Source organism: Homo sapiens, chromosome 15, assembly GCF_000001405.40.
Source record: "Homo sapiens chromosome 15, GRCh38.p14 Primary Assembly".
NCBI classification, from domain to species: domain Eukaryota; kingdom Metazoa; phylum Chordata; class Mammalia; order Primates; family Hominidae; genus Homo; species Homo sapiens.
In genome coordinates, this window is record NC_000015.10 from 65,250,193 (window position 1) to 65,272,306 (window position 22,114).

Below are 22,114 nucleotides of genomic sequence, written 5' to 3' on the forward strand. Positions count from 1 at the left end.
CTGCAACCCCCGCCTCCCAGGTTCAAGCGATTCTCCTGTCTCAGCCTGCCCAGTAGCTGGGATTACAGGCGCGCGCCACCATGCCCAGCTGATTTTTGTGTTTTTAGTACAGACGGGGTTTCACCATGTTGGCCAGGCTGGTCTCGAACTCCTGACCTCAAGTGATCTGCCCACCTCAGCCTCCCAAAGTGCTGGGATTACAGGCGTGAGCCACTGTGCCTGGCCATGCCTGCCTTTCTTATTCCTTTAGAGTCAGCCCTGGTTCTGCCTCTTTCTGGCCTTTTAACCTTGCACAAGTCATCTCCAAACCTGTTTCTTCTGTAAAATAAACAGAATAGTATCTGCCTTGCAGGGATACTGTGAAGATTAAATGAGATAATTCTTTTAATATGCACATCATGCAGGAGGCACTTGATACACGGTAGCATCCTTTTCCTTCCTCCCTTCTCCTACTGCTGCAGACTGCATCTCTGGTCTTCCTGAGGGCCAGGCTCCTCCAGTGTAGTTTACAGCCACAGCCCTGGTCAGACCTACCCATTGCTGCTTCCGGACTTTGATGGGCCCTGAGGTTTCTGAGGCCAGAAGCCAGTCCAAGCTGACCGAAGGAGGCCCCTTGAGACTGAGGCTGCAGAAGGCCCCAAAACACAGTGGCGCGCGTGTGTGTGTTTTTCCCATCTCTTATTTATTTATTTAGAGACGGAGTCTCACTCTGCTGCCCAGGCTGGAGTGCAGTGGTGCGATCTTGGCTCACTCAACCTCCGCCTCGCTACAACCTTTGCCTCCCAGGTCCAAGCGATTCTCGTGCCTCAGCCTCCCGAGTAGCTGGGATTACAGGCGTGCACCACCATGCCCAGTTAATTTTTGTATTTTTAGTAGAGACGGGGTTTCACCATGTTGGCCAGGCTGGTCTCAAACTCCTGACTTCAAGTGATCTGCAGGCTTCAGCCTCCCAAAGTGCTGGGATTACAGGCATGAGTCACCATGCCCCTGCCTCCCATCTCTTATTTTGCACAGGTTTGAGTGCCTTGTGGGGATAGTCCAAGGGTCAGGACAGTCAAACTTCATCAATCCAGACTCACTAGTTTGGAATTCACACCTTTCTATAGTTAACAAAGGATTTACATTAAAAATAATGATGCTCCAGGATGGCAAAGGCTATCAGTTAAGATCTACCCACGTTTATTCCCCGTTAAGACCCAACTTACTCTGTTAAATAAAAAGGAATGTATTTATTGGTCACCTAAGTGAAAAGTCTGGCTTCAAGCACAACTGGATTCAGTACTCAAAACAACGTCATCAGGACAGCAGCTCTGCTTTCCACTGTGTTGGCATCAGTCTGAGACTTTGCATGGCAGCCAGATGGCAGCCTCTCACATTCAGGACCACTGAAAATGCAAGTCTCTTTCCCAGGATCCCCAGCAAAACTTATGGTTCATTTTGATGAGATACTATTATCTCATCAAAAGATATGAGATACTATTATTATATCAAAATGAGATACTATTATCTCAAAACTCGTGGCTCATTTTGATGAGATACTAGTTGGGTCACATGCCTAGGTTTTTTTTTTGTTCGTTTGTTTGCTTTTTTGAGATGGAATCTCGCTCTGTCGCCCAGGCTGGAGTGCAGTGGCATGATCTCAGCTCACTGCAAGCTCCACCTCCCGGATTCATGCCATTCTCCTGCCTCAGCCTCCCGAGTAGCTGGGACTACAGGCGCCCACCACCCCGCCCGGCTAATTTTTTGTATTTTTAGTAGAGACGGGGTTTCACCGTGTTAGCCAGGATGGTCTCGATCTCCTGACCTCGTGATCCACCCGCCTCGGCCTCCCAAAGTGCTGGGATTACAGGTGTAAGCCACTGCACCCGGCCCACATGCCTAGGTTTGAAGCAATCACTGAGGCTGGGAGAAGGCAACTCACTAATTGGCTTGGGCCTGAGTCAATGCTCTACTTGTAGAGTGTGTGAGTGGAGGGGGCAGTCAGTCAGCTTCCCAAGACCAATGAGAGTGGGAAAGGGAGTTGGTTCCCCAGAGAGGAAGTTGAGGTATGGTACCAGGAAGGTGAATGAACCCTGGGTGACAAGAACAACAGATGGACTTATCCAAAGGAAATCGATGGCCAAAGAACTAAGAGGACAAATACTTTTCTAGCCCTTTAAAAATATAATTGATGTGCTAGTTTTAAATCCCTACAGACCTCTGATAGGCAATATATTATGGGCTCATTTGGGATAGCCTGCACTTGCTCAAGAATAAAACTGCATCTTTAAAGCAGCCTGCGATCCATGCTTCCAATAAATTGAGACTGGCCTTTCTGACCCACCAGTGGACAGTTTGACTAAACTAACCAATGTCACCAGCAATGGCTAGAAAGCCTGGCAGCACCACATGCTGTTTTCACTGGGGTCCTCCTTTGGCCAAATGGGGTTAGAGCAAAGTTTGATTCCAGCGGCCCCACCCCTTGACATGGTCAAAGCTCCTCCTGCCCTTGAATCCCTAGTGATTTCTCTTTCGCCACCCTCTCCTAACTCATTACTAAAACCTGCTCTTAGGGAGGCTTTGTTATCAGTCATTTGCACATGTGTATGAATAAGCTTCAAGTCAACAGTTTAGCCTCTCTCAGGATCATCTGCACTTTAAATAAAATGCAAGGCGGCTGGGCGTGGTGGCTCACACCTGTAATCCCAGCACTTTGGGAGGTCAAGGTGGGCAGATCACCTGAGGTCAGGAGTTTGAGACCAGCCTGGCCAACATGGTGAAACCTGTCTCTACTACTAATACAAAAATATTAGCTGGACATGGTGGCACATGCCTGTAATCCCAGCTACTTGGGAGGCTGAGGTAGGAGAATCACTTGAACCTGGGAGGTGGATGTAGTAGCGGTGAGCCGAGATTGCACCACTGCACCTCAGCCTGGGAGACAAGAGTGAAACTCCGTCTCAAAAAAAAAAAAAACAAAACAAACAAAAAAAACAATGCAAGACACTGTCCTTTCCACCCCACTAACCTCAAAAGGTATTTCTGGTGACATCGCAAATGGGACTCCCTGAATTCAAGCAACAAATGTCCACAACCTTCTTTGAAACCCCCACTCATCCACAATGTCTTGTCAATGCATTTTTTTTCTCGTCTAATTTCATTCTCTTTTTTTTTTTTGAGACGGAGTCTCGCTCTGTCGCCCAGGCTGGAGTGCAGTGGCGGGATCTCGGCTCACTGCAAGCTCCGCCTCCCGGGTTCACGCCATTCTCCTGCCTCAGCCTCCCAAGTAGCTGGGACTACAGGCGCCCGCCACTACGCCCGGCTAATTTTTTGTATTTTTAGTAGAGACGGGGTTTCACTGTTTTAGCCGGGATGGTCTCGATCTCCTGACCTCGTGATCCGCCCGCCTCGGCCTCCCAAAGTGCTGGGATTACAGGCGTGAGCCACCGCGCCCGGCCTTCATTCTCTTTTTGCTAACATTCAATCATTACCCTCTACTGTGATAGGGAAGTTTCTTGTATCTTTGCACCCCTTTATTCACTCAATAAACTCTTCTCCAGCACCTACCATATCTTAGATACTTGGATATACAAAGACTGCCTAGTCCCTGTCCTCAAGGAGCTTGCAGTTGAATTTTAATGCAGGAAACCAGATTTGTTTTTTTTGAGATGGGGTCTCTCTCTGTCACCAGGCTGGAGTGCAGTGGCACGATCTCAGCTTACTGCAACCTCTGCCTCCCAGGTTCAACCGATTCTCCTGCCTCAGCCTCCTGAGTAGCTGGGACTACAGGCGCACACCACCACACCCGGCTAATTTTTGTATTTTTAGTAGAGAAGGGGTTTCACCATGTTGGCCAGGATGGTCTTGATCTCCTGACGTCAGGTGATCTGCCCGCCTCAGCCTTCCAAAAGTGCTGAGATTATAGCCGTGAACCACCGCGCCTGGCCTAATTTCCAGATTTTTAACACAAGCAAAGTCTAGCCCCGTGGCTGATATAAAGTATTCAATAAATGCTGCTTTCCCTTTTCAGGGCTGCAGTATATGGACACTACAGCAGAACGCTGGAAATTTTTGAAAAACCCTTTCCAGGTGGACAAGGGCACCAGCCAGAGTGGGTGGAGACGGTGGTTTCTATCTTTACTTGGGAATGTCATGATTTGTTTTGGATGCTCCAAATGTCAGGTTGGAGACGCATGCAAAGGAGAGGGGCTTATTCTAACCAGATCAGGCTAGAGGCAGCCCAGGACACTGTCTCCATGGTGCACAGCCCCAGACAGTTTGGAAACAAACAGAAACCCATCCAGAGGCAGGAGACTGACAAAGGCAAACACAAACAAAGGCCAAGAGATGGAAAACTCATGAGGTGGGGCACAGTAGAGAGGAGGGGAGCGGGGAGAGAGACAAGTGGGGGCTGTGGAGGGGGTTTAGAGAGGGGTGTGGTCCTGTTTTTGTGTGAGCTAAATCCAGCCCCAGGGCCTAAGAATCACCATGGCAACGGGATGAATGCTGCTGACTCCATGCCAACACAAGCCTCCTGGGCTTAGCAGAAATGGGCTCAGATGCGATGGGGCCATGTTCTCAAGAAAAATGTCTGAATTGGGCTGTTTAAATCACAAACTCTCCACCCCTCTCCTGGTTTTGTAGGCAATCAGTGTTTAATGAAATGAATTAAACAGAAATGACACAGAACAACTTCCCCTATTCTACCTCTCTCTCATACACTCGTGCACTTACTCCCATAGAGTAAAACTCTTTCCCTTTCTGGTAGAAACTGACAGCTCATGGGATGCTGTGCATTTTCAGAAGCAAGGACCTCACCTGTGAGAGGTCCCCCCTTACAATGGCATTAGTGACAGAGGACAGATGGGGTTGCTTTTCACAAGACCTTAGGCAGCTGGGGGCCCCTATGAGGTGGCTCCAACTAAACCACTTTCACTTTTCCCAGAGCTGCTTGGCCTATGGGATCTCCCTGAGATTTTGGGTCAGTGCTAAATAGAATGTTAAGTCTCGTGTAGGGCTTGTCTCCTTCCTGCCTCTCCATTCCCAGGTACCCAGAGGCCTCACACTATCCCCTAGTACACTAGTCCTGTGCTAACTCATCCATTAGACATAGTAGGCACCGTGCCTAAGGCCCACATTGCAAAAATGTTTTCTTTTAAAATTAGAAGAAAAAAACTTTTAAGAAAAATTAGAAGAAAAAATGGTTTAGTACATAAATATATTCATTTTTATATCAATGCAGTAATAAAATATAATTTTAAATACTTTTATGGAAGAAAGGGGGCCCAGAAAGGCAAAAGTGCCCAGGGCCCATGGAAGTCATAACGTGGCCCTGCCCTAGTCTTCCCTCCTGCCCACTCGAACCCTCTAGACTCCAGAGTTTTCCTTCCCCCATATCAAAACGTACCTGCTATCTCATGTCCCTCCACTAACCCTGGAGCTCCTGGAGGGCAAGACCATTCTTTATGTATCCTCTGTGCCCACAGTCATATCAGGTATTGCGTTACCATTTCTTCTTTTTGCAGGGAGGGGGGTTGGAGGTGGGATGTATGGGGTGGAGCAGAAAACTCAGAAAAAAAAAAAAAAAAAAGAAAAAAAAAAAAGACAGGGCTAGGTTTGAAACAAATGTTGCCGGAATGAGAGGCCCACTCCTCAGCCCTGCTCTGTAGCAGTGAGCTAATGTGACAGCAGAGTCAAGCCAAAGCAGGGGTTCTTCACTTGAGACATATAGCCAGGTCTCGGGGAACAGAATTCCTGGAAACTGCAAAAACTTCCCATCTATGCAGTCTGACTTTGTCCACATCTGCTATACTGAACTCCACTGAAACTGTTCCTGCTGAGTTTGCCAATATCTCCAATCCAGTAAATCCAACAGACACTTCTCAGGTATAACCGTGGTTTCTCAGCACCATTTGACACTGCTCATCTAGCCCTCCTCTTTGGCTTCCATGACACTTGGCTATCTCAGTCGCCTCCTATTTCTCTGGTCACTACTACTGTCTCCTTTGCAGGCTCTCTGCTCTGTTGGGCCCTTAAAAACAAGTAATAATAGTAGCAGCAACTGATACATATCAGTGATTTACTCTGCCCTGGGCACTACATAAGCATCAATCCTCTTAATCCTCAAAGTAATCCTAGATCCGCTCTCCAACCACCAGCTAGAGTGATTTTTCTAAAAACCGTATCTCATCATTTTCTTGCTTAGAACCTTCTAATGGCTTTCCTCTGCCCACGGCTTTTTTTTTTTTTTTTTTGAGATGGAGTCTCGCTCTGTCACCCAGGCTGGAGTGCAGTCGCACAATCTCGGTTCACTGCAAGCTCCGCCTCCTGGTTTCATGCCATTCTCCTGCCTGAGCCTCCCGAGTAGCTGGGACTACAGGCGCCCGCAACCACGCCCGGCTAATTTTTTGTATTTTTAGTAGAGACGGGGTTTCACCGTGTTAGCCAGGACGGTCTCAATCTCCTGACGTCGTGATCCTCCCGTCTCGGCCTCCCAAAGTGCTGGGATTACAGGCGTGAGCCACCGCGCCCGGCCGCCCACAGCTTTTAAAGTCTTTCAAGATCTGGTCCCTGTCTACCTCTCCAGCCTGATTTCTCATCACTGCCTCTTCCTTTATAACCTGCCTGCTTTTAGCTTCTCCAAGAACTTCAGGTCTTTGCATGTGCTGTTCCTACTGCCTGAAACACTTTTCCTCCACCTTTCAGCCTAGAACCAATTCCTCTGGGGGAAGGAGATTGGTTATGTGATTGACGCTGAAATCAGTCTGCCAGGTTCAACTCCCAGCTCTGCCACATCCTAGCAATAAAACCTTGGGCAAGCTATTAAACTCTCTGGCACTGGCTGGACATAGCGGCTCATGCCTGTAATTGGGAAGCTGAGGAAGGTGGATCACTTGCGGTCAGAATTTTGAGACCAGCCTGGCCAACATGGCAAAACCCTGTCTCTACTAAAAATACAAAAATGGCCGGGCATGGTGGCTCACACCTGTAATCCCAGTACTTTGGAAGGCCAAGGTGGGCAGATCACTTGAGGTCAGGAGTTCATGACCAGCCTGGCCAACATGGTAAAACCCCATCTCTACTAAAAACACAAAAATTAGCCAGGTGTGGTGGCATGCGCCTGTAATCCCAGCTACTCAGGAGGCTAAGACAGGAGAATTGCTTGTACCCGGGAGGCAGAGGTTGCAGTGAGCCAGAGGTTGCAATGAGCTGAGATTGCACCACTGCACTCTAGCCTAGGTGACAGAGCGAGACTCCAGCTCAAAAAAAAAATTTAAGAAAGAAATAAAATAAAAATAAAAATACAAAAATGAGCCAGGCATGGTGGTGTGTGCCTGTAATCCCAGCTACAGGGAGGCTAAGGCAGGAAAACTGCTTGAACCCGGGAGGCAGAGGCTGCAGTGAGCCGAGATTGCGTCACTGCACTCCAGCCTGAGTGACAGAGCAAGACTCTGTCTCAAAAAAAAAAAAAAAAAAAAAAAGTAGATAAGGCCTGTTGTGAAAATTAACCAGTATAGTAAGGTGCCTTGCAATGTTACATGTGTCACCTGAGTATTTTCTGACCCTAGACCATGTTAGGACTCCTTGCCAAGTATTTCCCTAAACTTTATAATACCATAAACTCCCAACCTCACTCTTGAAATGTTTGTCCATCTGCCCACCTTGCAGGCTGTCAGCTCTGTGAAAGCAGGGGCTTTCTGACTTTGATCCTGCTCGTATTCCTAGTGCCTGGCATACAGTAGGTACTCACGTTTGTTAAGTCATTAACTAGAAATCCAACACCTCCTAGATATCATATCCTGGTGATATATGCTCTCCAGCAAACAGCTAGTTTGAACAAGGAAGGATGGAAGATAAAGTTTTTAACAACAAGGCATATAGGGCAGACTCACACTAAGGCTAAAAGCACTCACAAAGGCAACTTAAATCATTAAGAAAATATCTTTATTTATTCTGAAATGTTCCAATAATCAATGTAAAAACTGTGGTAGTGGCTCTTTCACAACTTTACAAATTATAGAAAAATGATTTTTCCTCTTCTTTACAGAAATGTCACTCCCAAATCGTACCGGGCCCTATTATGGCTAAAACCCAGCAGGAAGAAGGGAGCAGAGAATACAGCAAGCAGGGCTCCGGCTCTCTGGGTGGCCAGAAGGCTTTTCCTACACATTAAAGCCCAGGCTGAGTCTCAAAGACCTGTGACCCCTCTGAAGGAGGCTCCATCCACATGGATCTGTGGCACACTGGGGCAGGCCTCTGTCTTGAAGGCCAGTAGGCCACAGAAGACCTGAAAGCATGGCACTCGTGGTTGCAGGCCACAGTCAAGGCAGCTTTGTGAGAATGAGAACAGGAGGCGAGCCTATAGCTCAAATCCCTTTCTCTAAAACACAGCCAGAAAAGAGGCTGTGGACACTGGCCAAACAGTGCACTAGGTTTAGAAATTTCCCCTTTTACTCAGCAAAGACTAATTTGTTAAACAGCTATTAAAAAAAAATCAGAAAACAAACATTTGGTTCCATTTCAGCTGTAATCAGCAGTTGGTAATTTTTGGAAAAAGAGCAGTTTTCTCATCTTGAGTTGCTCATTAAGTCTGTATTTTTTATCAGGCCCCTGACTCCTTTCTTTCTCATCCATGGTTTTTTGGGGAGGGGGGCAAGTACAGCTATAGGAGAAGGCTGTTTGTTGATTTGAGAAAACTGTTAAAATGTTTTGCACTCACATACAAAGGCTGATGGAATTCAAAAATGATCCCACTGATTTTTATGAGAAACATGACTGTTCCTCTTGGGTGTCTCAAGTCAAAACAAGGCAACCGCCTAGTGATTTATAGTTCCCACATTTTCCGCCTTCCAGAAGGCATTAGAGAAAGGGCCAACCTCTGCCAGGAGAGATTGTAAACACACCACTGACAGCTTGGACACTTTGTTTTTAAATGCAGCAGGGCTTTTTCCTTTGGCCCTGGCTGAAAAGCCAACTCCCTAGGACAGTTTAAGAAGGAGCAGATGGAAGGACTCCCCTAAAACCTAAGAGTGAGGGACTAGTAGTCCCCGTTGACTGGAGTATGGCTGGGAACATCATCAAAGGCAATGGATACATTTAGGCCATATGAAAATTGTCCTGTGGTCCCCCAACTGGCCCCTAGGCTCAACCTGGCTGGACATGAGGCATAGGAGGTACAGAACAAGTTACCATAAGGCACATAGTTGAGGTAGCCCCCACACCAGGCCCAGAAAGATTATCTTTTCGCACGATTCCAAAAGTGTTGGAAAGCAGAGGAGTTGATGACACTCACTATGAGCAGCAGCAGCAGATACAGGGATATCATGACGGTAAACCAATGGCTGGAAAACCAGGAGAGCTGGCTCGAAGCCCTGCTTAAGAGGGAAAAAAGAGTGGTGTTGGCAAAAAGAGAAAAACATTTTTTTTAAGTGTGTACAACAAGTCTGGCTCTAAGAAGACAAAATGATGAATTTCATCCTTTGCCTGAGCCATGAAATGAAGCTTCGTGCTTCCTTGCTCAAGAAACCTGGGGCTGTTTGCCCAGGCACTGACACGCCTTTCAACAGGATATTTTCTAAATGCGCAAAGACAGCTATGCAATGAGCTCATCCTGATCTTCCCTTTTGTAGCTCCTCTTTTACCATTTACAACCCATCTTGGTATCTATAACAATGACCTAGCTCAGGGTGTCTGCCCAGATGGTGGCAGGTGGCAGGTAATTTAGCTGAAGTCTTTTCACTTTTAGACACATGCAGATATAAATCCAAGCTGGGGAAATCCTCTTTGGCCCACTAGGAGATGATCTAAACCACCCAAGTGTGCACTAAAGAGATGCTCCAGGGAGAAGTGGGAAAGGAATGGAATTTTCAAGGATAAAAAGTTAGATGATTTTAAACCAAAGCATAATGTCACCTGGACCCAGGCACCCTATATACATTTCCCAAATTTGGACAGGGGTCGGGAGGAGACTTTACTGGTTTATGAAGTCTGGAAGCATGGAAACCACTGGTGTGTACAAGCAGGAGTGGGGATTATTTAAAGTGACCCCTTTTCCTGTCATATCTACTTACCTGCTGCTGGCCCCTGCAAGAAGCACCATCATGGATTCCAACAATGCAACAAAATCTCAAGAGTGGCCCCCAACGCTGGTGAGCCCCACACTTACTCCCACACTGCAGAGATGGAACTAGGCATCCACCAAAGCTGATAAGGTCTGAAGGCCCACATCTGCTATTGAGTTCAAGGCCCTCATTTTAGAGATAAAGATGAAGCATCTCAGGTCCAGAGAGGGGCAGTCAGTGGTTCAGCAGCCACTGTGGGAAGCTACTGAGCCAGCCTGTGCACAATCACAACCGGTGTCCAGTCACTGCCCTGCCTCTCAGCTTAACCTCATCGGTGGGTCTCAGACTGCAATCATGGGCCTAATGGCTAAGGGGCCACACTGTTTGCGGCAGCCAATTTGGACTCAGTCAGTCTCTCATGCTATTTGTGTTTACCAATCTTTCTCTCTTCTCACTGGAATACAGTCCTCTTAGGGTCGGGACCACATCTTCTCCAGATCCTATCTCTCACTTCTCACCGTGTCCAGCATGGTGCTTTACATACTTGACATCTAGCGGAGGTCTAAGGCTGGGGGAGGGGAGGCTGATACCTACAACAACTAAGAAAGCCAGCACTCTGAATACAGCCATTAGTTGTTCTCTTGGACCTTACCTCTTGGGTGGCTTCTGTGAATACACCAGGAGGTACTTCACTCGCAGCAGCTGGTTATTGGTGACCACGAAGTACTTGGGAGGGATGTCTCCCCCTTCACTATGTTTGATTCTCGCTCGTCTGCGATCTATCTCCTTGGAATCTGAATAAGGAGAGTAAAACACATCTTCACTGGGGGAAACAGAACTAAGGAAGCACATTATAAATAGAAATAAGTCAAGCCTCCTGGTGCTGAGGGGGAAGAAGGCCTGGCAGGCTGAGGAACAGACCTGTGTGTGCATGAAGCAGCACTGAAAAAAACGGAGAATCTGGCAGGCAAATGGGAGGAGGAAAAAAAGAGTAGGAAAATATAAGGGATACAAGGAAGAAAAAACAAAACTCAACTGAGTGGGGAGAACAGAAGGAAGAAGCAAATTGATGGCCATAGCAAAGAAATACGCTGGGACTGGAAGCTAGGAACAGGACTTGATCTGAAAACGCCTCTTAACAGGCATTTTATATATAAATTTTATATATATTTTATATATAAAATGCCTGTTAAGAGGCGTTTTATATATATACATGTTTTGTTTTTTTTTTGTTTTTTTTGAGATGGAGTCTTGCTTTTTTCGTCCAGGCTGGAGTGCAACAGCGCAGTTTTGGCTTACTACAACCTCTGCCTCCCGGGTTCAAGCAACTCTTGTGCCTCAGCCTCCCAAGTAGCTGGGATTACAGGTGCCTGCCACCATGCCCGGCTAATTTTTGTATTTTTAGTAGAAACGGGGTTTCACCATGTTGGCCAGGCTGATCTCAAACTCCGGACACCTCAGGTGATCAGCCTGCCTCAGCCTCCCAAAGTGCTGGGATTACAGGCATGAGCCACCACACCCGGCCTTAACAGGCATTTTAAATGAACCACTCTGGATTTGAGGTTCTTAGAACATTTATCTTCCACCCTTCGTACCAAGACTTGTTTTAAAACAAACAAACAAAAAACCCTTTTCTTTTAATAGCACAAAAAAGTTCTACAAAAAACTAGGAAGACGAAAGCTGCGTGACAGCAGAAGTTGGAAGGTTTTGTTTTGATGTTTAATGTCACGGTTTGCAAACTTCCTAAGAATTATAAATGCAAATATCCATGCTGTCCGGTTTGGGAGGGTGGTGTCAGACCTGGGCCTGCATCTCAGAATTCCAGTTGTTTTACATTAGAGGCCAGAACAGTCAGTTTTCTGAATTCTCTTGGAACCAACAAGCCAGATCTTTTTTCTTTCTTTTTTTTTTTTTTTTTGGATGGAGTCTCGCTCTGTTGCCCAGGCTAAAATGTAGTGGCATGATGTTGGATTACTGCAACCTCTGCCTCCTGGGATCAAGCGATTCTCATGACTCAGTCTCCCAAGTAGCTGGGACCACAGGCACACGCCACCACACCCGGCTCATTTTTTAATTTTAGTAGAGAAGAGGTTTCACCACGTTGGCCAGGTTGGTCACAAACTTCTGACCTCAGGTGATCCACCCGACTTGGCCTCCCAAAGTGCTGGGATTACAGGCGTGAGCCATACCGCACCTGGCCCCAACAAGCCAGCTCTGGAGACTGGAATGACAGTTCTATGACTGCTCTGCCTTTGAGGAGAGCCACACAATGGTGGGGGGAGACAAGGCAAATAGTCTCAGGGACACAGTAGGGGAGTGGGATGAGGTAGCCAGCTAGTCATCACTCTCTGGAGAGCTCAGGACTCCCCAGCACCTTGGCTGCCCTTCACATCCTGGAGGGATCTGGCACACGCCAGTGTAGATCGGAGGGTCTGGACCCAGCATCCTTTGCTTCATTTAGCAAATATTTATTGAATATCAAGTACATACCAAGGCTTTCTGCCGATACCCGGTGCCCAAGAATGAATGAGATCTCATTCCTACCTTCAAGGAGCCCACGCACTGGCTTCATCACTCACTTTTTAAAAAAATTCAAATCTCTCCTCCTCCCACAAAGCTTTCCCTGGCTGCTTGGACCCACCATGATTACTACTTCCTCTGAGCTGCCTCTGTGGGCCTCGTCAGCCTCCTTACCTGGCACCCCCTACCTACCCCCTTGTAGTGAATGGTCTCCATTGAGTGTTCAATCTCTAAGAAGACTGCTCGCTCCTTGGGCAGGACCCTGTCCGGCACTGCCCTGGATCCAGCCCAACCCTTGGGCATGCAATGGGTGCTCTACCCAACAGCTGGGCCAGCAAGAGCCTGTACACCCAACAGAGGCCTGTAGCCCAGGTCTGGACCAAGTGCTCACTCACCCTTCTTCTTGGTTTGGCACTTGACGTCCGGATGGTCAATGACCTCACACACGGCCACACAGCTAAGGATGGGGCCGAGGAGGCTGTGCTGCCACCCATGGCCATGGGGGCTGTATATGAGGGCCAGGCTCAAGTCACTGGTGAGGTAGGTCCCCTCTCCGAACAAGGATGTCTGCAACAGCAAGGCCAATGGAAAAGAAACACAGATGGTTGAATGTACAGTTGGCACGGCAAGACGACACAGGTCTCTCTTCAAGAGTTGTAAACACAAAATGTACAACCCCCGCTTTTTGCCCCAGCAAGACACAGGATCAAATAATCCTGTGATATCATCACAGGGTTATTACTAAACACATTCCTGCCTGACAACAGTTTAACTGATTGTGGATTTGGCCATCTGGCCTGGCAAACTAGCAGTTCCTTGTGGTCAAGGTTGAGTGAGAAAAACATAGGTATAAGCATCCAAACCAACCTCGGTTTGAATCCTCCAGCAAGTGGCAAGTTATATAAACTCTCTGTGTCTCAGTTTCTAGATCTACAAAATAATGTTACTAGTAGCTCCTTTACAAGGTTGCCAGTGAGGATTAAATGAGGCAATATACATACATAAAAGAGTGGGACATCTGGCACATCTAAATAAATGAGGGGCCAGTACTCCATTGCAGGCCTTTATGTTCTAGTATATAAAGTAATTCCTGTTACATGAATGCAGTAGGCATGGTTACTCTGATGGGCTTCAAATGCAAAGTCACACCCTTAGGTACAGGGAAGGGGTCCCACCTGAGAAGGGAGGTAATCTGAGTCATTACTTGGAAAAGAAATGAGTCTCTCACAAATAAATAAAAACATAAAAATTAAAAATAATAAATAAATTAGAAATTAGTCTCTTAGACCAGAAACTATAACAAAATGAGGGAGGCCGACATGCGGGGCAAGGTACGTTTTACTCTTTGTATTGGGGTTGACCAAGAAAACATCTAAAAATCTAGGCAGCATCTCCCTGGTGGTGCCCTCCATAAGGAAGCATGCCAGGTGAAGGACCTGTAAGTTGAGGCTACAGCAGGCATAGTGAACACATCTTTGCCCATGGTAGATGACCAATAACAAACCACAATTGCCAGCACAGTAATATCAAGCATGGCACTTATTCCTAATGATCCAGAATCCTCAACTTAACATTCCAGGTAGCTGCGACCAATGGATGGACATTGACGCTCAGGTTGAAATTCAACTGCTATCCCTGAGCCACACTATCAGTATCTCAAGATAAGTGGACTTGAATAGCTCACTGAAGAATATCTTATGCTCTGGAATTGAGAAATGTCCTTTTCAGTAGCACCAGGCTTCCAAAATCCTAAATCTGTTAAGTGAAGCTTAGGGGAAATGAAACAGACCTTTGCTTGGCCTTTGGGAAGCTCTTTGCCAAGTTAGGCAGGGTCTCCATCTCTCAAAAGCTGACACAGACCTTCTCCAATGACACTGGATGCCCTCTGATCTGACCCCACATCCATTCTCTGCTTATGCCATCATGTGTTCACCCTTCCTTAGACTTGAGAACCCCATGCAAGGCTGCCATGAGCAGTGGTGTACAAGAGTGGGAAGCTCAGTGTATCTCTGCCATGAAAACAGTATCAGTATCAACTGGCAGATGGACTCCCTCAAGCAAGCCCTTCACTGAAAACCCAGGCAGAGGGGCCATAGGAGGATTGATGTGCTTTACCAAAGGATTTTTGTAAGATGCCTCTAAGCAGCAAACTCCCTGGGGCACTAAAATGAAGGTTTAGTGTACAAGAGTATAATCTGCAGGCAACTTCTCCAGGCCAGCACCAGTGTAAAGGGGAAGCCCCCTGAATTCCAGTAGCCTGGACATAATGGTAAGCTGAGAGCCAGTGGTGGACTGAGAGCCAGTGTAAACAAGCCCGTCATCCTTAGCAAAACCCAACGACATTAACCAGATACACCAGGGAAATATCTCCAGTCTCAGGGCTGCAGCAGCCACAACTGAGCCCATGGCTCATGGAGCCAGCTCCTCACAGACAAGGCAGATACTGCCATGACTGGGGGAAAGGCCTGCAGCTCCTCCAACTACCCTAGATGCCCCTCCATCAGCATATAAAAGCAGCTACCTCTTCCTTGGTACTTAGTACACAAAGAGCCCTTTGCATACATGAACTGTTTTAATTCTCTGACATATAAGAAGGAGGGTAATGGTGTCCTTTTTTACAGATGAAGAACCTGAGGCTCAGAGAGTTTAATTTACTCAGGGCCATAGAGCTGCTAAGTAAGTCTCTGTAGCTCCAGGGTCTGTCTGTAATGCTCCTCCTATACCTGAGGGGTAAAATAAATGCCTGCAGAGAAGTGGATAGATGACTGTTTTGACTCATAAAAATGGGACAAAAGCAGCTCAAGAGGGGAGGGAAAGGACCTCTCCTCGGTGCATCTTGGCATATCCCTCAGTTTCTCCAAGGGCTGATTTCCTGGAGTGTGGTCCCCAAGGAAAGTGCTTCTCAAACTTCAATATGCATACAGATCACCTGGGGACCTTGTTAAAGTGTGGATTCCGATCAGGTGGTCTGCGCCTGAGATTCGCATTTCCAGCGAGCTACCAGGTGATGCAGACGCTGCTGGTCCAGGGAACGCACAGTGGAGCTAGGGTTGGCTACATAGTGGGATCACCTGGAGAGCTTTTAAAGCAACTGATGCCTGTGCTCCACTCGGAGATTCTCATTTAATTGGTCTGGGATGCAGCCAGGCATCTGGGATTTTTTATTATTTATTTATTTTATTTTTTAATTTTTGAGATGGAGTCTCACTCTGTCACCTAGGCTGGAGTGCAATGGCACGATCTCAGCTCACTGCCACCTCTGCCTCCCAGGTTCAAGCAATTCTCCTGCCTCAGCCTCCCGAGTAGCTGGGATTACAGGCACCCACCACCATGCCCGGCTAATTTTTGTATTTTTAGTATGGATGGGGTTTCACCACGTTGGCCAGGCTGGTCTGGAACTCCCTCAGCCTCCCAAAGTCCTGGGATTACAGGCGTGAGCCACTGCGCCAGGCCTGGCATCTGGGATTTTTAAAAGCTCCCCGAGTGATTCTAAATATGCAGCCAAGGTCGGGAACTATCTTTAAATCGACGCTTTTCAAACTATAACCAGTGCAGGAATCACCTAGAGATCTTGTTAAAATGCAGGTTCTGATTCAGAAGGTCTAGAGTGTGCCCAAGATTTTGCATTTTCTTAGGTCTCCAGGTGATGCTGCCACTGCTGGTGTGCAGACCACATTTTGAGTGAGAAGGCGTTAGTAAACCTACCCGACCCCACCTGCAAACTCCTAGGGTTCTGAATCTCCCCCTCCCCACTCTCCCACCTCCATCCCTGCTTCCCCACATCAGCAGGGTGTCCCTTAGGCCCCACCTTGTTCAGATGGCAGTGCAGGCCATTGTGGATAATGGAATGGAAGTTTTCTAGGCGGCTACCATGAAATGCATAGATTAGGTCTCGTTCTCCTTTGGTCTCATAAAATTTGGCGTTGGCTGGGTCAAAGTACTCAATTTCAAACAGGAAGTCCGGTGCAGGAACAGGCGTGTGAGGAGCCCCAGTCAGCTTTTGGATCTTTTCAAACTTGAAAACATGAAGAGCATCAAAATTTTATTTGGGGAGCTGGTAAATGTGCTGCAAAAATAGCCCCCTAAACTCTCAGGCTTAACTCCCATGGACTCTGCTCATGAGAACAACAGGTTTCATGAGGATAGAGACATAAGCAAACTCAGAGCGTATAGCACAAGACTGCTTTCTTTAATAACATTTTTCCCGGTCGGGTGTGGTGGCTCACACCTGTAATCCCAAAACTTTGGGAGGCCGAGGCAGGTGGATCATTTGAGGTCAGGAGTTCGAGACCAGCCTGACCAACATGGTGAAACCCCATCTCTACTAAAAATACAAAATTAGCCGGGTGTGGCAGTGCACACCTTTAGTCCCAGCTACTTAGGAGGCTGAGGCAGAAGAATCACTTGAACCTGGGAGGTGGAGGTTGCAGTGAGCAGAGATCACGTCACTGTACTCCAGACTGGGCAACAAGAGTGAAACTCCATTTAAAAAAATAATAATAATAAATAATAACATTTTTCCCTACAGTAGGCTGAGAAGCATGAATTGCTCCTTCTAAGTGGAGATCACAGGGCTGGGTGCGGTGGCTCACACCTGTAATCCCAGCACTTTGGGCGGCCGAGGCAGGCGGATCATGAGGTCAGGAGATCAAGACCATCCCAGCTAACACGGTGAAACCCCGTCTCTACTAAAAATACAAAAAATTAGCCGGGCGTGGTGGTGGGCGCCTGTAGTCCCAGCTACTCGGGAGGCTGAGGCAGGAGAATGGTGTGAACCCAGGAGGCAGAGCTTGCAGTGAGCCGAGATGGCGCCACTGCACTCCAGCCTGGGCGACAGAGCGAGACTCCGTCTCAAAAAATAAATAAATTAATTAATTAAATAATAATTAAAAAAATAAGTGGAGATCACTTCTAATTTTCCTAACTTTTTTTTTTTTTTTTTTTTTTTTTTTTGAGACAGTCTCGCTCTGTCGCCCAGGCTGGAGTGCAGTGACGCCATCTCAGCTCACTGCAACCTCTGCCCCTCCAGGTTTTTTAAGCAATTCTCTGCCTCAGCCTCCGGAGTAGCTGGGATTACAAGTGCGTGCCACCACCCCTGGCTAATTTTTTTTGTATTTTTAGTAGAGATGGGGTTTCACCATCTTGGCCAGGCTGGTCTTGAACTCCTGACCTCGTGATCCACCCGCCTCAGCCGCCCAAAGTGCTGGGATTACAGGCGTGAGCCACCACGCCCGGCCACTTCCTAACACTTTTACATCTATCTCCTGCATTCCATTTTTACAATCATCTCATGTTTATTGTAAAAATTCCCTCTCATCCTTGTCCATGCACCCCTCTGCAATGTGGTTTTGCAGGTGGGATTCTACCAAGATCCCATCAAAAGATGGAACCTACTTCTCCACCCTTAAGACTGTGCTTGGCCATGTGACCTGCTTTGGCCAACGGGACATTAACATATATATAGCAAACAGAGACTTGAGAAGGGCTTGTCTTTCCTTCTTTGCTGCTGAGAACCCCTCACCATTGTCCTGGCTTGTCTGCTATAGAGTATGAGCCTCACAGAGGAAGGCTTCCAGCATGGTGGCCATCCCAGCTGAAGCCCCAGAAATGTAAGTGAGGCCACCCTAGCTCATCCAGCCAAGCCCAGAACCACCCAACCAACCCACAAAATCATGAGAAGCAATTAGCATTTGTTGCTGTTGTTGTTTTTGAGACAGGATCTGGCTCTGTCGCCCAGGCTGGAGTGCAGTGGTGTGATCCTAGCTCATCGCAGCCTTGAACTCCTGGGTTCGAGCAATCCTCTATCCTCAGTTTCTTGAGTAGCTGGGACTATAGGTGCAACTACTATGTGCACCTAATTCTTAAATTTTTCATAGACAGAGGGTCTTGCTATGTTGCCCAGGCTGGTCTTGAACTCCAGCCTCAAGCAATCCTCCCACCTTGGCCTCCCAAAGTACTAGGATTACAGGCGCAAGCCACTGCCCCCTAGTCCATTTCAGTGGTTTTTTCTTTTTTTTTTGAGATGGAGTCTTAGTCTGTCTCTCAGCCTAGAGTGCAGTGGCACGATCTTGGCTCACTGCAGCCTCCACCTCCCAGGTTCAAGCGATTCTCCTACCTCAGCCTCCCGAGCAGCTGGGATTACAGGCATGTGCCACAATGCCTGGCTAATTTTTGTATTTTTATTAGAGACGAAGCTTCATCATTTTGGCCAGGCTGGTCTTGAACTCCTGGCCTCAAGTGATCCGCCTGCCTTGGCCTCCCAAAGTGCTGGAATTACAGGCGTGAGCTTGTAGAGTTTAGTATTATTTGGAATGGGGACTGTAGACCTGTGAATTTCCTCTCTATAGTGGTTACACCTATAGTCCCAGTTACCCAAGACAAGCCAGGACAATGGGTCACACCTGGCCCATTTTAGTCGGTTTTTTTCTTTCTTTCTTTCTTTCTTTCTTTCTTTTTTTTTTGAGATACAGTCTTGCACTGTTGCCCCGGCTGGAGTGCAGTGGCGGCATCTTGGCTCACTGCAACTTCCGCCTCCCGGCTTCAAGCGATTCTCCTGCCTCAGCCTCCCACGTAGCTGGGATTACAGGCTCCCGCCACCATGCCCAGCTAAGTTTTTGTATTTTTAGTAGAGACGGGGTTCCACTATGTTGGCCAGGCTGGTCTCAAACTCCTGACCTCATGATCCGCCCACCTTAGCCTTCCAAAGTGCTGGGATTACAGGCATGAGCTACCGCACCCAGCCAGTGGTTTTCAAATAGTAGGTCACAGACCAAAGCCAGTCTATGGCAAAGTTTTCTCTGGATTATGACTGAATGAGCAAAATAAGGGCTATATAACAGATATATTGATGTAAGGTTGCCATGTACCTTTCTTTGGAAGAACTGTTCTTCATTCTGAAGTCAAGGCCATCCTCCTTTCTTAGTACTATAATATCCTTTTATAAAATGATGATACATGGTAGGCTAACATACTTACTTGGGCAATACAAAAAGTTGACAATCCTGGGTCCCAATACCCCACAGTTTAAAAGAAATTTAACTGGTCCACAATCAAAAGTCTAGGAGCTATTTATTGCCTTATCTACTTTAGCACCCAACATCTAGTAGGTGCTTGATGCCCATATGAGGTAAGAATAAATGAATGAATAAATTTGAATTCAACACATAACAACAGTGAAACCCAGAGATTCACTAGGAATTAGCCACCCAGCCTGGAACTGAATACAGATCTCCTGACTCCCACCTCCAGGGCTCTTTATGGTATTTTAACATCTAACACAGAAGAATGTCCCTTAGATACCAGAATCCAAGGTACCAAATTCTACGCCACATAGGAAAGATGTGTGTCTTTGGCAGGAGCTTGTAAAATTGATTACTCTTAAATTGAAATGAATTAAGTGATGAACAGTATGGGTAAAGGAAGAGCACCAGAGCAGGAATCAAGTCCTACACCCTGGTCCTTGTTATCCAGCCTGTCCCTGGGAGACCCCAGCCAGGCAAGGTAAACCAAATTATGGAATGTCTGACTTGTGCCAGAAACTGTGCTGGGGGGGTGACACACATTTTATCAGTGCCCCACTTTGAGGTAACTATCAGCATCTCAATTTATAAATGGAAAAAAGGAGGCCCTTTTCGATAGAAATGGGATTTGAACCCAGAGCATGAGGTTTTCCACTCCTTTGAGTTCTGCCTCTCCATCTCCTGATAACTGAACTAGGTCAGAGTTTCTTAAGGTATGGTCAGGGTCACCCTAATCAGAATTACCAGCAGTGCTTGTTAAATAAAGTGAATCCCAACACATACTGAGCCCTTAGTATGTGCCCTTAGGCATTTTCAAAGTGTGAAAATTCATTCAATTCTCATAGTCAGTGCCTGATGGAAGTATACTATTATCATCCCCATTTTATAGATGAGGAAGCGGAGGGACTGAAATGCACCTGGTACCTACTCAAGGTCACACAGCTGAGATGAGACAGAATTCAGCTTTGTACAGCCAGTGGGAAAGCTCCTGGGCCTGACTCCAGACACAGAACTAGAAAGTCTAAAGGTGAGGACCAGGACTCTGCATTCTCAAGCTGCCCAGGTCACTGGTACACAGGGAAGTCTCAGAGCCACTGGATTCAGTGCTGTCCTAGAGCCCTTAGGCCCCTAAAATCTGTGATGCTACGGACCAAAGTCTCACCTCTGCCTTCCCTGCACTGTGGATTGTCAGGACCTTTGAGGATAAAATCCAGCTCACCAGGTCCCAGGCCCGTTTGTGGTTGTCTCCGGAGGACTGGAGAAGTTCTTTCAGGTTAGGTAACTTGCTGGCATCTGCAAGCTGAAGCGACGGAAGAACTTCCATTAGCAAGGATCCCGGACACAGTGATAATCAGGGGCCCTCTAGTGGGAAGGCAGGCAACGTTCACTTGTTGCACGTCTCAAGGGATCTCCTGAGAGGAAATTCACAGGTCTACAATCCCCTTTCCAAATAATACTAAACTTTACAAGCTCTAAAATCTGAAAGGTTTTTTTTTTGGTGGGTTTTTGTTTTGTTTTTGAGACAGGGTCTCACTCTGTCGCCCAGGCTGGAGAGCAGTGGCATGATCTTGGCTCACTGCAGCCTCTGCCTCCTAGGTTCAAGCAATTCTCCCACCTCAGCCTCCCGAGTAGCTGGGACTACAAGCGCACGCCACCACGCCTGGCTACTTTTCATATTTTTTGGTAGAGATGGGGTTTCACCATGTTGGCCAGCCTGGTCTCGAGCTCCTGACCTCAAGTGATCCCCCTGCCTCGGCCTTCCAAAGTGCTGGGATTACAGGCGTGAACCACCATGCCCAGCCTTGGTGGTTTGTTTTTTTTTAAACTCTTTGGGTACCAAACCTGACCTGAGCTGATGTGAGGTTTAATCTTTACCTATCCCCTTCCTGTTAGTATCAGTGCATTCTGCTGCAGGAATATTAACATGCCATGAGTATGGCATGCCACCCACTGGAGGTGTGACTGAATACATGATACATGCACATGTGGGTAAAGCGCTACATTACAAAGCCTTTTCCTTTCTGTGTGAGAATTAGTTAACTTCTGTTAAGTTGTTCCCCTGGAGACTGGATAAAGGTAGTATGACAACTACATACGTAATCAGGCAACACTGCTTAAGGTAAAAATGACCCAGCATGGTACACGGCATCTGGCCTGGGAGGAACTGTAAATGGGGAATGCATAACTTTGGGTTTCCCAGAGTGTGACAATGTTTTGTTGGAACACTGGAAGCTTTGTTGATGACATTCTCATGAGTGAGACCAGCCTCTGAGGAAAATGGAGCTTCACTTAGGCCAGAGCAGTTCCTGCACCCACCCCATGTGGATCTCATCTCTTTACTCCCAAGTTTTCACTTTTGGGGGCAAAGACTAGCTCTTGGACCTCTATGTGGACCACTGCAAGGACTTCCACAGAAACACAGTGCCTAATGCTGTGCTGCTGAAAGCTGTCATCAGTCCTAGAGCCTTTGGATTTAGGCTGATGTCCCGTGGGACCTGTGATAGGACTCAGCCTAGTTGTCATTGCAGCACATT

At 47.2% G+C, this 22,114-nt stretch overlaps 1 protein-coding gene across 22 annotated transcripts in view, besides 1 other annotated feature; it reads right to left on the reverse strand.

Moving 5' to 3' along the window:
- PARP16 (poly(ADP-ribose) polymerase family member 16) overlaps positions 1-22,114 on the reverse strand; it is a 55,967-nt gene that overhangs the window by 19,276 nt on the left and 14,577 nt on the right. For 5 of the 22 annotated variants that reach the window (XR_001751341.3, XR_001751342.3, XR_429459.4 and 2 more), the window contains exons 2-6: positions 20,743-20,880; positions 16,370-16,576; positions 12,957-13,128; positions 10,693-10,834; positions 9,272-9,353 (exon numbers count right to left, since the gene is read on the reverse strand). Coding sequence is in view for 17 of the 22 variants with exons in the window: in XM_006720589.4 (XP_006720652.1) it covers positions 9,272-9,353; positions 10,693-10,834; positions 12,957-13,128; positions 16,370-16,576; positions 20,743-20,880 (741 nt within the window). In the remaining 5 variants the exon portion in view is untranslated. Of the gene's footprint in view, positions 1-7,906; positions 9,354-10,692; positions 10,835-12,956; positions 13,129-16,369; positions 16,577-20,742; positions 20,881-22,114 lie in introns of those variants that run through there. The other 17 variants (XR_007064469.1, XR_429460.4, XM_006720590.4 and 14 more) reach the window with 13 other exon arrangements.
- Positions 3,268-3,768: an enhancer, noted in NCBI's record as "H3K27ac hESC enhancer chr15:65545798-65546298 (GRCh37/hg19 assembly coordinates)". NCBI's record gives its function as "activates a minimal SCP1, AML or CMV promoter by ChIP-STARR-seq in naive H9 embryonic stem cells {active_cell/tissue: H9 hESC(naive)}" and the evidence as "EXISTENCE:reporter gene assay evidence [ECO:0000049][PMID:30033119]".